This window comes from Homo sapiens, chromosome 17 (assembly GCF_000001405.40).
Source record: "Homo sapiens chromosome 17, GRCh38.p14 Primary Assembly".
NCBI classification, from domain to species: Eukaryota; Metazoa; Chordata; class Mammalia; order Primates; family Hominidae; genus Homo; species Homo sapiens.
Window position 1 is genome coordinate 4,096,706 of NC_000017.11, and position 13,410 is coordinate 4,110,115.

General features: G+C 42.7%; 1 protein-coding gene across 8 annotated transcripts in view; it reads right to left on the bottom strand.

The window, feature by feature from the left end:
* The window catches only part of ZZEF1 (zinc finger ZZ-type and EF-hand domain containing 1), a 138,586-nt gene that overhangs the window by 92,261 nt on the left and 32,915 nt on the right, over positions 1 to 13,410 (bottom strand). For all 8 annotated transcript variants that reach the window (XR_007065288.1, NM_015113.4, XM_005256561.3 and 5 more), the window contains exons 6-9: positions 12,948 to 13,158; positions 8,988 to 9,104; positions 7,928 to 8,106; positions 5,612 to 5,710 (exon numbers count right to left, since the gene is read on the bottom strand). Coding sequence is in view for 7 of the 8 variants with exons in the window: in NM_015113.4 (NP_055928.3) it covers positions 5,612 to 5,710; positions 7,928 to 8,106; positions 8,988 to 9,104; positions 12,948 to 13,158 (606 nt within the window). In the remaining variant the exon portion in view is untranslated. The remainder of the gene's footprint in view (positions 1 to 5,611; positions 5,711 to 7,927; positions 8,107 to 8,987; positions 9,105 to 12,947; positions 13,159 to 13,410) is intronic.

Below are 13,410 nucleotides of genomic sequence, written 5' to 3' on the forward strand. Positions count from 1 at the left end.
AAAAGGGAAAACTCAAGTTAGGGAACTAACCCATTTTTATAGCCCTAAGAACTAAGATCAACAAAAACAAACCATATCCTTTGAGTCATGGGGGGTAACTGGTCTGATATCTTCACGAAAATTAGAGAAAAATGTCCTCTTTGGACAGAGGCAACCCCGATGATAAAGCCCCAGGTAAGCAGAGAACTGACCAGGTTCAACTTTCCCAGGGCACAATCCCCTCCACCTCACAGGCAGCCCTGCTCTGAGGTAACAATAAGAAAATAAATGTTTAGGCCGGGCACAGTGGCTCACGTCTGTAATCCCAGCACTTTGGGAGGCCGAGGCGGGTGGATCACGAGATCAGGAGACGGAGACCATCCTGGCTAACACGGAGAAACCCCGTCTCTACTAAAAATACAAAAAATTATCCAGGTGTGGTGGCGGGCGCCTGTAGTCCCACCTACTCGGGAGGCTGAGACAGGAGAATGGCGTGAACCCGGGAGGCGGAGCTTGGAGATTGTGCCACTGCACTCCAGCCTGGGCAACAGAGTGAAACTCCGTCTCAAAAAAAAAAAAGAAAAAGAAAAAGAAAAAGAAAAGAAATGTTTATAAAACATTTAAGCCAAAGCGACAAAAGACTGGACAATCAATCATCTTCCTGAGCCACACCTACAACCATGGCTGATGGCTGCCTGGGCTGATAAAGCCTACTGGCTTAGTGGCTGAGAAAGGGATTAGTTAGCTTCTACAACACTTTGTCAGGAAAGGTTATGAAAGGCTTTGAAATGGGAAAAAAAAAAAAAAAAAAAAAAAAGAATCACTGGGTGTCCTAGCCAACATACCCTTTCGGTCGTCTCTGCCTTTTATGGTCTCTAAACTATTTTACAATTCTGTAAGTTGTAGAACACTGGTAGTGATGCACATGATTCTTGTCCACAGAACTAAACACTGTGTTCTGTGGAAATGTTGCTGATTATTCCTTATGGATACTGACCAACATTCTATCTATTTGTAAATTAATTTTAGCATTCTTGTTAGTCTACATGTATTTTATGAATTCTCCTTAGAACTGTTTGTAACATCTTACTGGTTCCCTCATTAATTAATGAGCTAAATAAAAAGTCTGGGCCAGGCACAGTAGCTCATGCCTGTAATCCCAGCACTTTGGGAGGCTGAGGCCAGTGGATCACTTGAGCCTCAAAACCAGCCTGGGCAGCACAGTGAGACCCCATTTCTACCAAAAAAAAAAAAAAAAAAAGCAAAAATCAAGGTGGGTGTGGTGGCTCACACCTATAATCCCAGCACTTTGGGAGGCTGAGGCAGGCAGTTCACTTAAGGTCAGGAGTTCGAGACGAGCCTGGCCAACATGGTGAAAACCCCATCTTTACTAAAAACACAAAATTCGCCGGGCGTGGTGGCACACACCTGTAATCCCAGCTACTCAGGAGGATGAGACAGGAGAATCGCTTGAACCCGGGAGGCGGAGGATGCAGTAAGCTGAGATCTCACCATTGCACTCCAGCCGGCCTGGGTGACAGAGTGAGACTCCAACTCAAAAAAAAAAAAAAAAAAAAATCAGCTGGGCACGGTGGTGCACACCTGCAATCCTAGCTACTTGGGAGGCCAGGGTGGGAGGATCGCTTGAGCCTGGGAGGTGGAGGTTGCAGTGAGCTATCATCACAACACTTCACTCCAGTCTGGGCAGTAGAGTGAGACCCTGTCTCAAATGAATGAATGAATGAATAAATAAATTAAAGTAAATAAATTAAAAGTATGAATGTGTTCACTTATATTTGTATGACAGTCACTATTTTCCTTTTTTGATTGTTGGTAATTATCCTTTAACAACTCATGAAAAAGTCTTCTGCTAGACCCAAGGTTGCCTTTCTCTTTCAAACGTCTCTAAATGATATAACTCAGCAATAAATAAGCTTTTTTTTCTGGGACTCTGAATTTTCTTAACAATTCTGCCTATCAAAATGACAAGACTAAAACCAATTTCATGCTTCCTGTTTCATTACATGGAGTTCAAGCCAACAAAAATTTATAAAGACAATGTGCAAAATGAGTCACCAAAACTAAGAAAATTAAATCCAAAGGAAACTTCTCTAATTCACACAGACGCTCTATGATCTAGTTCTATGAAAGAGCAATTCTATAGGCAATTTTAAGAATCCATACTACCAACAATTCACACAACTCCACTAACAGTAATACTAAGAACTATCCCAATTATTGAACTCTTACCTTTTCCCAGAGCCCTGGATGTCTCTATGTAAAAGAAATCTATGTAAAGGCTAAACTATTGTCTAAAAGTTAAGTGATAAATCAGCAATTTTAGTTAGTCTCAATGTAGTAGCAGAAGCAATAATTTAAGTCAACAGAATCGGATAGACTCTTTTAAAATAACACTGCCACCAAATATGCAATGACATTTTTTCAGAAAGGCAAAACAAAAACAAAACCTTAAAAAAAAAAATAAAACTTCTGTGCTTCCTTTTCTTGGTAAGAAATCAGCTCACGTGGTTTTTTTCATTTTTCTCTTTTGTTTTTTAGACACAGGGTCTCGCTCTGTTGCCCAGGCTGGAGTGCAGTGGTACAATCATAACTCACTGCGACCTTACACTCCTGGGCTCAAACAATCCTCCTGCCTCAGCCTAAGTAGGCCCACAGGCAAACACCACCATGCCCAGCTAATTTTTTATTTCATTTTTTGTAGTGACTGGATCTCACTATGTTACCCAGGATGGTCTCAAACTGTTGGCCTCAGGAAATCCTCCCACCTCTGCCTCCCAAAGTGTCGGGGTTACAGGCATGAGCCACTGTGTCCAGCCTAGCTCACAGGTTTGACTGTGATTTTTTTTTTTTTTTTTTTGAGACAGAGTTTTGCTCTTGTCACCCAGGTGGGAGTGCAATGGCGCAATCTCAGCTCACTGCAACCTCCGCCTCCCGGGTTCAAGCAATTCTCCTGCCTCAGCCTCCCAAGTAGCTGGGACTACAAGTGCCTGCCACCATGCCTGGCTAATTTTTGTACTGTTAGTAGAGATGGGGTTTCACCATGTTGGCCAGGCTGGTCTCGAACTCCTGACCTCAGGTGATCTGCCTGCTTCGGCCTCCCAAATTGCTGGGATTACAGGTGTGAGCCACTGCACCCAGCTGAACTGTGATATTTTAAATCTATAAGTTTTGACACCCTGCCCTCCACTTGCCAATTTATTCTTTTTAGATAACAGGGAAAAAAAAAATAACCAATCAGATTTAAAGGACTTAATAAATCTACCACTTCTGCTCCTATCAGGAGCACCCAGTATTCCTTTAAAATACCAGACCAAGTGACAGTGGTGACTGCCAGGAACGTTAGCCCCCTGAAGTATCAGCGTTTGAGTTCTCTGGGCATTCTGTGGGCCCTGCAGTGGCACTTGTCCAAAAGTGGTACTTCCCCACTGTTGGAGAATCAGACGTGTACCCATGAGAAGAGCTTTTACTCCGATAAGGGGAAGAAAAAATCACCCCCAAACCCAACAGCTCTGGCCATGAGTACTTTCCTCTTGTCTTGTCCCTTAAGGGTTACTTTTTGCAGTGCAGCAAGAGAGACCGACATCAACCCTGAGTTACAAGCAATAGATAGTGATGGCTGGAGGGAGTGAGCAGGAGGAACCCAGTGCTCCCCACACCCATTCACATCCCACCCTTGTGTTTCTCAGGCACATGGCAAAAATAACAAATCCACAAACTACAGCTAGATTTTTAAAATCCACTCAATCTAAGGAGGGGAAAAAGCAGGAAGGAGAACTGGGTAGGTAAAAGACACAGGGAAAATAACAAAATATTCAAATCAGACCAGGCACAAGAGCTGGCAAAATCTATTACCAGGAGAAATGCCCGTGAACAATGTTAAAAATCCACATCCAGCCGGGCACGGTGGCTCACGAGGTCAGGAGATCGAGACCATCCTGGCTAACGTGGTGAAACCCCGTCTCTACTAAAAATACAAGAAATTAGCCGGGCGTGGTGGCGGGCGCCTGTAGTCTCAGATACTCGGAAGGCTGAGGCAGAAGAATGGCTTGAACCCGGGAGGAGGAGGTTGCAGTGAGCCAAGATCATACCACTGCACTCCAGCCTGGGCGATAGAGTGAGACTTCGTCTCAAAAAAATATAAAAATAAAGAAATAAAAAATCCACTTCCTCACATGCTCCAGGAACAAAAATTCCAAATCTTCAGCAAGTGAAGGAAAAATGCAGAGGGCCTTTGGCAGGGTGGTCTTGGCTTTCTTGGGTGAGGGGAAGGGAAAGGGACAAGGAGCTAACACCACCCCCTCCCAGCCCCACCCACTTTGGATGGCAGGAGCCTCACAGCCAGCCATGGCCTTCAGTGTGGCTGGAGATGGATGTGGTAAAGAAAAACGTTTCTGCACAGGCTGAGCTGCTCAGGGAAAACCACAGGGAAACAATCTGCTTTAAGCATCTACTGCTGAAGAGGAGCACTGAGGAGAGGAGGTGCAGCTGGGAAAAGCATGTTCTCCTAGGGTCTGGACTCCATGAGTGCTGAGAACGAATACAGGAAACGGGACAGAGAAGAGGCAACCACTGAGAACATACGAGGACTCATTGCTGAGAGGAAAGCCGAGGAGAACCAGACGCAAAGCAGCAAGGCTAGTCCCTTTCAATGTCTGATCACTGCTGGAACATTCCACTTCCTCTAGTGAATCAGCAAGATTCAAATCAGTCCAGTGAGGAAAAAAGGGACACAGAGGACAATAACAAGGCGGCCAACAAGACGAATGAGAGACTCACAAACACCTTATCACGAGATAAGGAAAGAGCCTCCAGCAAAGTTGAAAAGCACATCAGCAATTATTATGTTGACACTAGGAAAAGAGTGAGGCTTCCTCTAGACACGCAAATACTACATCAGCTATATCTGGAAATACCCTTCTTTGTTTTGTTTTGTTTTTTTGAAACAGAGTCTCGCTCTGTCACCCAGGCTGGAAGGCAGTGGCGGGATCTCAGTTCACTGCAACCTCAACCTCCCGGGTTCAAGTGATTCTCATGCCTCAGCCTCCCAAGTAGCTGGAATTACAGGTGCCCTGCCACCACAACAGCTAATTTTTGTAGTTTTTTTATTAGGGATGGGGTTTCACCATGTTGGCCAGGCTTGTCTTGAACTCCTGGCCTCAAGTGATCCTCCCACCTCGGCCTCCCAAAGCGCTGGGATTACAGGTGTGAGCCACTGCACCCGGCCTGGAAATACCCTTCTTAAACTATGTTTTCAGTCAGTAGTAAAGTGCTACTGATCTGCTGAGTTTCCTACCACCTGAAGATAACACAATAGAAAGACAATTGGAACTGAAAAAACGATTAAAAAAAATAGTAACTTTTTATATTCCAAGAGAAAGAATCCTTGCTTTTCAAAACTTCAGGCTCTCAAATACTTCTGAGTTGTTATAGTCATTGACACCTAGGCAGATTACAACTACACCACACAAATTGCTCAGCAACCACTGCCAACTGAGAAACAACCTAAAATTGAAGACTGCACGCCTCAAACATTTCAAAGTCTGGAGTGTGCTTTCACACAGCTGACTCCTGTCTACCGAGCACACTAGAAACAGACAGACCCACCACTCACCATCCCTTGTCCACGGTTCAACAAGGAGGTTTTCGGGTCCAGACTTATCTTCTTTTCCTTTGACATCACATGCCTGAAGAGTCAACTGGAGAGGTTTACCTGACCAAAGAAAAGGAAGACCAAGCTGTAAGCTAAAATATGAAGAACTGGAAACTAGCATGCCTATCTGTGGAAATAGAGTCCTGTGGCTACCCAGACTGCTAACTAAAAATCTCCCTGTTTAAAAGCTGAAATAGAGCAGTAATATCAGACAAAAGTTGACACCATCCCTTTGTACTTTCCTGAAAGAGACAAAGTACAGCTATGGCCCTGAGTGATTCCAAGGACAGCTTTCTAGAACAATCATTGTTCTGAAAAAAGGACATTATAAGACATAGGTTGATAACATAGATTGAACACATTTGGGGGGGTGATTCCTAAGATACTGTTTTGGAGCCAATAATTAACTTTATTACAATTGCATTTAAATATAAAATATTTTAGGTCTCGTTTCTTTAAATCATCTCTGCAGGCAAAATTTCTGTTTCAAGAATTAGAAAAATCAACTTTTTCAGAACACTTGGCTTTGGCAAAAAAAAATATATATTTATATATACATATAAATCAACTTTTGCTATGATGATCTGAAAATGTTTTCCTTTTGTTTTAATAATAGAATGTACACCTGTTCACCTATGATATGACCTAGAACTAGAACATTACCCCATTCCTTCCTATCCACTGCTCCCTGCCTGAACAACCATTAATCTAAATTCTATTCAGCTTCCAGACACTACCTGCTATCCCTTCTATCCAGCCATGGCTGCTCTGGGCTGTTGACCAGTGCAACCCCCAACCACCCAAGAAAATAACCTTTCAAAATTTAGGGAGGAAACTAGATTTACAGGACACCAATTGTCTAACTTAAAAATTTAAACAGGCAAAAGAAAAAAAAAATTAAACAGGCTGGGCATCATGGCTCATGCCTGTAAATTCCAGCACTTTGGGAGGCTGAGGTGGGAGTACTGCTTGAGTCCAGGAGTTTGAGACCAGCCTGGTCAACATGGGGAGAGCTCATTTCTAAAAAAAAAAAAATTTTTAACTAGCCAGGTGTGGTGACCCATGCCTATAGTCCCAGCTACTCAGGAGGCTGAGGCAAGAGGATCACCTGAACCTGGGAGGTGGACGCTGCAGTGGGCTCAGATTATGCCAGTGCACTCCAACCTGGATGACAGAGCAGGACTCTGTCTCAAAAAATAAATAAATAAAAATAAAAATAAACATAAAAAGAAGCCATTAAGTCAGTCACACTAAGACGAAGGTAGAAACCTCACGGCAGAAGCCAGGTGTGGTGGCTCACGCCTGCAGTCCCAGGATTTTAAGAGGCCAAGGTGGGAGGACTGCTTCAGCCTAGGAGTTCAAGACCAGCTTGGGCAACATAGTGAGACCCAATCTCTACAAAAAATTTTTAAAAATTAACCAGGTATGCTGGCATGCACCTGTGGTCCCAGGTACTCGGGAGAGTGACACAGGAGGATCACTTGAGCCTGGGAGGTCAAGGCTGCAGTGAGCCGTGATCATGCCACTGCACTCCAATCTGTGCAACACAGCAAGACACTCTCTCTCAAAATAAATAAAAGGGTAGAAATGTCACTGGAATACTGCCAACAGGATGAGACCCAACACCACATATTGTGGAGTCCAGGAAGGCTGCACTCACAAGTAGAAGTGCTGCACTGCAGTCTTTTGGGAGTGACTTTATGGGCTCCCATGTTGAGAAGGATTATAAGGCCCCATCCTGGTTTGGTAGAAAAGTGCTCATATGAATTACTGCTAGGCCCAAGGGGGGAAAGCAGTGGCAGACAGGTGTCCAAATCCTTCAGAGCAGCTATCACGGGAATGCAGAGGAATGCATTCTAAGACAAAGATCCCTTTGCACCGTATCTTGGCTAGTTTCCTCCCTCCAACAGGTAAGAACTACTCCAACCCTCTTGGCCTACACAATGAGACACTTCAGTACTTCACCAAAGATGGCTGTGTTCAAATGGCCACCAGACCTGAGTAATTTTGCAAGCAGATCATGGGAGTATAGCCTTGTGGACAATCAAGTGTCCTCTTCTGGTGATACTGCCATCACATAAATGAACCTAAATCCCCCTTCTCCCTGCCAATCCTAGTAAGGTCTGATACTCAGAGGATACGTTCATCCAGGAATCATGGTGTAACTATAACAACCCAAAAAGATGAGAAGATACCAGGAGGTCATATGGCGAAGAATGGTTTTACGATTTGTCCACTGTTGACATTTCTATCACCCCCATGTTTTACCATATTTACCATATTTGAGGAGCAGGTTCTGTCTGACTGACGCCATGGACAAGATGAGGGATGAGGCATCATACTGCGTGTCCAGATGGTCAGTGATGGTGCATAGAGAGCTCATGACTTTGGCAACACTTCCTCTTGCGAGAGCAAAAGCCAGAAGAGTCAGTTCTACCTCTGGGGTAGAACAGCAGCTATAAGCAAAGAGCAAAAACTTTTCACTTCTTAAAAACATGAAAAAATCCAGGTAGCTCAAACCCCATGTAAGTGATCAACACAAGTAACATTAACCTGCCATATGCTTTCTACAGGTTTATCCGAAATATTTTTCAAAATCCTTAAGGTAACCTAAGGAAAAATTAAATCAATCCAGAGAGCCAGGGAATGAAAGCCTCACTTCTATAATCTTTAATCTTTAAATATTAAATAATACCAATACGCTACTGTAATAAGCCTCTGCTATTAAGAAGCCTTGGGTAATGAGCTGGCTTGACCAGAGAGTTGAGGGTTTATGCTTGAAGCACTAAAAATGTATCACACTGAATTACACTTCTTTGCTTTTAATTTAAACACATTATACTGAAACGTTAAAAACTGTCTAGATGGCTCAGGGACTGGTTTGACCTCTAATGCAATAATGTCCTCAGGGCTCACTGAGGCAGAAGTGAGTGTCCCTACACAAAGTGGTCACTGCTATCAAGCTATCCAGGTGCCCTTTCCCAGTTCTGTAGGTAATCAGGCTCCCTGGACCTGCATGTGAAGGTCAGCAGGTTCTGAGTGAGGGAAGGCTATGCCAGTTGGACTTTGAGACATCTGTTCTATCAGAATCACAGGACTACTCCCCTTGGGCCCTGCAACACCCCTCACCAACCTTCCCAATTCTTCAGGTCAGGTGATACTGCTAAATAGTGGACTTTAGATGAGTGAACTATTATGTCACTTTCTCTTTAGCTGCTAAAAAGCAACCATTTTTAGTGGTGATCGTTAAAAGATTAATATATATTTTTTAAAGACTTAACAAGCATACGTGCACTCCATTCCTCACAGAGTTTACCCTCATCAGCCTTGATTTTACCTAGTTATCCTTATGAGGAAACTGTCCACTTCTTCCAGCACATTAGGGGAGAGGAAAGTTGAGAAATCTGTAGATCCTGGTGAGAGAGAGAGTGGAGGCATGTGCCGCAGCGCCTTCCTAGAAGAGGAAAATGTAAAATGTAATCAGAACAAAACCAGACCGAATTTAGACAAAAAATAAACTGTTAGAAGCTTGTTTTGACTAATCCCTTATAAACAGACAGTGTTCCCACAGAGAAGCTGGCACACAATATAAACTGGCCCTTCTTTTTTTTTGAGACGGAGTCTCGCTCTATCACCCAGGCTAGAGTGCAGTGGTGCGATCTCGGCTCACTGCAACCTCCACCTCCCAGGTTCAAGCGATTCTCCTGCCTCAGCTTCCTGAGTAGCTAGGATTACAGGAGCCCGCCACCACGCTTGACTAATTTGTATTTTTAGTAGAGACAGGGTTTCACCATCTTGGCCAGGCTGGGCTTGAACTCCTGACCTCGTGATCCACCTACCTCGTCCTCCCACAGTGCTATGATTACAGGTGTAAGCCACCGTGCCCAGCCTAAACTATCCCTTTTTGCCCAGGAGTCACAGTGCTAAGTAGTTTAATAGGGTTTTGTGTTTGTTTGTTTCTTTCTTTCTTTTAGGAGTTCTGCCTCCCTCTGTTGAATAAAACTTATTCAACTCTCTAGAATCCAGCTTTCATGTTAAGTAGTACTAGAAAAACTGACCCAAGAGGCAGAGCAGCTTGAGGCTCAGTAGAAAATTTATTTTATAATTTGTTCAGCAGCAACAGGGAAAAAAAAAAAACAAAAGAAAATTTTATAGCTAGGATCTGAAGATCTATGGTATCTAAAGATGTGCCATGAATGTTATGTTCTCTTAAACAGATTAGCACATCACCGTCTCCATTCCTGCCATGTTTCTTGGCCTTTCCACCTTAATGTCTGTTTTAGTGTTTCCCTTTTCTTGTCTTTGCTTACATTTATCTTTCTGAATCCCCCAATAGCTTTACCTACTCTAGATTAGCAGTCATCAAAAATTTACGCAACAAATGACTTCTGAGCCCTACTGTGTGCCAGCAACTGTGCTAGGTGACTGAATGTACCATGAAAAATTTCAAGGTATTCTGTGAATGTATCAAAAGTAACTCAAAATTCTACAACTGATAGTCGCTTAATGATAATGGTAATGAAAATCCCTGAAACAATTTCATTTCTACATTTCAAAATAGAGACAATAAAGCAAAGCAAACACTGTCAGCTCGCACTCTGCCCTAGTTCTGTTCCTGTCTACACAATGAGCCATTTTGGGGTTGCACAAACATGGCAGCTACACACAGATGCAGCTGATCAGTGAGGTTTAATGCACACAAGTAGCATGCGATCATTTACTGAATTTATTTCCACTGATACAGGCAACACTTCTGTCCCAAAATATTCTTTTCCTTACCTATTTTTCCTCATTGATATTTTTTCAATAAATCTTTAATTTTAAAATAGATTTAGATCACTAATCTTAAAAAGGCAGGAGTGCATGAAAATATCATTGCAGATGAACTAGTAAAACTGAGCAGGGACACAGACTTTAAAATCTGTCCATTCTTCAACCACTTGCCACATCTTCAAAAAAAATATAGAAACCTCTTCCTTTTCCTGAAAATCCAGTCCACAAGATGGGACTGTGCAGTGCAGACATTTGTATGTGTCTGGGGAGTAAGGGGGAGTCGTCATGGTGGCCTACAGTGAGGTTTTAGAGCCTGAGCAGGGTGAGAAAGGTGTCTTCACAAAGGTACGGCCTGATATGGAATGCAGGCACCAAGTGAGGCAAGAAGGGTGGCCTGGCACAGGGTATAGGAACTCGAGGAAGATAAGAAGGGCATCTGTGCAAGGATGGCCACAGCAGCAGCTCTGCAAAAGATGCTGGAGCAGGAATGGGATAGGGAGGGTGTCCATGCAAGGGCAGGGGCAATGGGACACTGGTTACATAGAGGCGAACTGAGTAAGTACAAAAAATGTATTAAGGATCATGGGAAGCAAGTTTCTTAGTATCAGAGAAGGCAGTCACAAATAAAGAAATAGGCTGGGCATGGTGGCTCATGCCTGTAATCTCTGCACTTTGGGAGACCGAGGTGGGTGGATCTCCACCTAAAGAGCCCCTGATTCAGAAAAATGGCTGATTCCAGGACTAATGCAGGGAACATTCAAGATAAGCCTGGAATATCTTGTGTCAGAACATATGGAAGCATTCCGAGAATAATGAGACATGTCAAAAGGACACACAAGCCAGACTGCAGGGGTTGCCACCAGCCAACTCCAGGATAACATAAGCATCAAAACTGTGGCTGACTATAATCTAGTGCATAAAAGAGGAATCCACTAACATAAAGTTTTGATGAGGAATACGATATTTACATAGTCTCAAAGTACCGCCTTCAACGTATTTATTAATTATGAAGTGAAAAATATTTATTTTACAATGGAAAAGTCTGGCAAAAACCACTTTAATCAAGTGATCAAAGTTAACAAGACTGCATTAGAATGAGGACTATCTGAAGTTGTGTGCAACCCAATGGGATGCAATGAGAACAAAGCATCACTTCTATGATATTCCTGCTAGAGACAGATAACAAAACCTCAATCTGATCACAATAAAACATCAAATAAACCAGAATTGAAGGACACTCTTCAAAATAACTGACCTGTAATTTTCAAAAGTATCAGGGTCAAGGAAATACTGAGGAAAGTCAAGGAAATACTGAGGAATTGTTTCAGAATGAAGGAAACTAAAGAGAAAGGACAAAGAAATGCAGAGTGTTTCGCTGGATCCTTTTGCTGTAAGGGGCGTGACTGGGGCAACGTGCAAAACTTGCAGGGAGTCTGAGGATGAGATGGTGGCAACATAGCAATGTACACCAATGTGGATTTCCTGATTTCAATGGTTGTCAGTAAATGTTCTTGTTTACAGGAAATACACACTAAAGCAGCAGGAACGATGGGGCACAGGCAGGCAAATTACTCTCTAATGACTGAGGAAGAAATAAAAATTATTTGTTAAATGTAAACTTGCAGTGCTTCTCTAAGTATGAAATAATTTAGTGAGAATACATGCTACAACAGGAAGAAAGAACAAGGTATGGCCAACTATTAACCTTCAGAGCAGCAGTGTTATTTGCTAACAGTTTTACTCAATAGTGCTAACAAATCTCAAAAGATGTCTAGAGAACAAAATATTAGCAATCTCTTTTTGGCTGATACTCTCACCGCCTACACTATAGGTACCTATTATCAGTTACTGAATCTGCACAATACTAATATTTCAGTGCTGCTATAGCTGGTTGTATTTGTCTTATATGTTACTATTTGGTCTTTTTGCCCTAATGATTTTTTTTCAAAAGTACTCTACATTTCAAAAGAAATTAATTTAGTACCCTGAAAAGATTTCACTCATTCGTGGAAAGAGCCCTCAACTGATCCATTACTGCAGCCTGGTCTTGTGACTTCAGGAAAGGTCACAACATCTGCGTCTATAAAATGGGGTGATTTTCACAGGTACACTTCAGTGTCAGTAGGTAAAATAATAGACTGCATCTGAAAGGGCTTTATCCAACATCAAATCCTATAGAAACATGAGCAATTACTTCCCAATGGACAAGGAACAGGCACAGCATAAGTGACCTCCTCACAAGACTGGTCCACTTAGTGAGCTGATGAAGAACACTGTAGGAACTGTGTGACGAGGAGCAGGAAGGTGGAATGGGCACTTTTTCAGTCTGTAAAGTCAGAACGTCAATCAAAGAGAGATACACTGTGGAGCTGAGTGGCACGAACAGGAAACACTAGGGCACCTGAGGCCGAGCTGACTGAGCCACAACGATCAATGATGGAAGGCTGCTCAGTGATACGCCCTAAAGGATGATGGGAGAATGAGGGCATGTTGAGGGGGCTGGAACATAGAGAGAATGACTTACTGAGTATTGTGCAGCACTGTCTGGACAAAGGCGGGATTTGTCTCCATAGAAGCCGTCACCAGAGATGTCAGCAGAGACCAATACCATATTGCAGAAGCATCTGAGACTGAGACCCCAGACTTCTTAACTCTCTGAAAGCCAACAGCCCTGAGACCATGAATTCTAGTGTCGCAGCCATCGCTAAGACAACGCTTTATGTTAATCTGGACATCTGTCGAGCACAAACAAAAAATTCAGTATTGGATTAACTTCTTTAGGCAAATGCTGGGCTCCCAACTAAAAGCAAAATAGTAATAGACATTTTGAAAAGAAAATTCTGAAGGTACACTTTGATGACAGAAATAAATAGCATGTGCAATGGAACTAGTATATAATAAATTTGTCAAAAAGCTTTGACAAATCTAAGAAATCATAAGAATAATATGTAAAATTAAGGGTGATTTAAGTCTTTACAACAAAACTT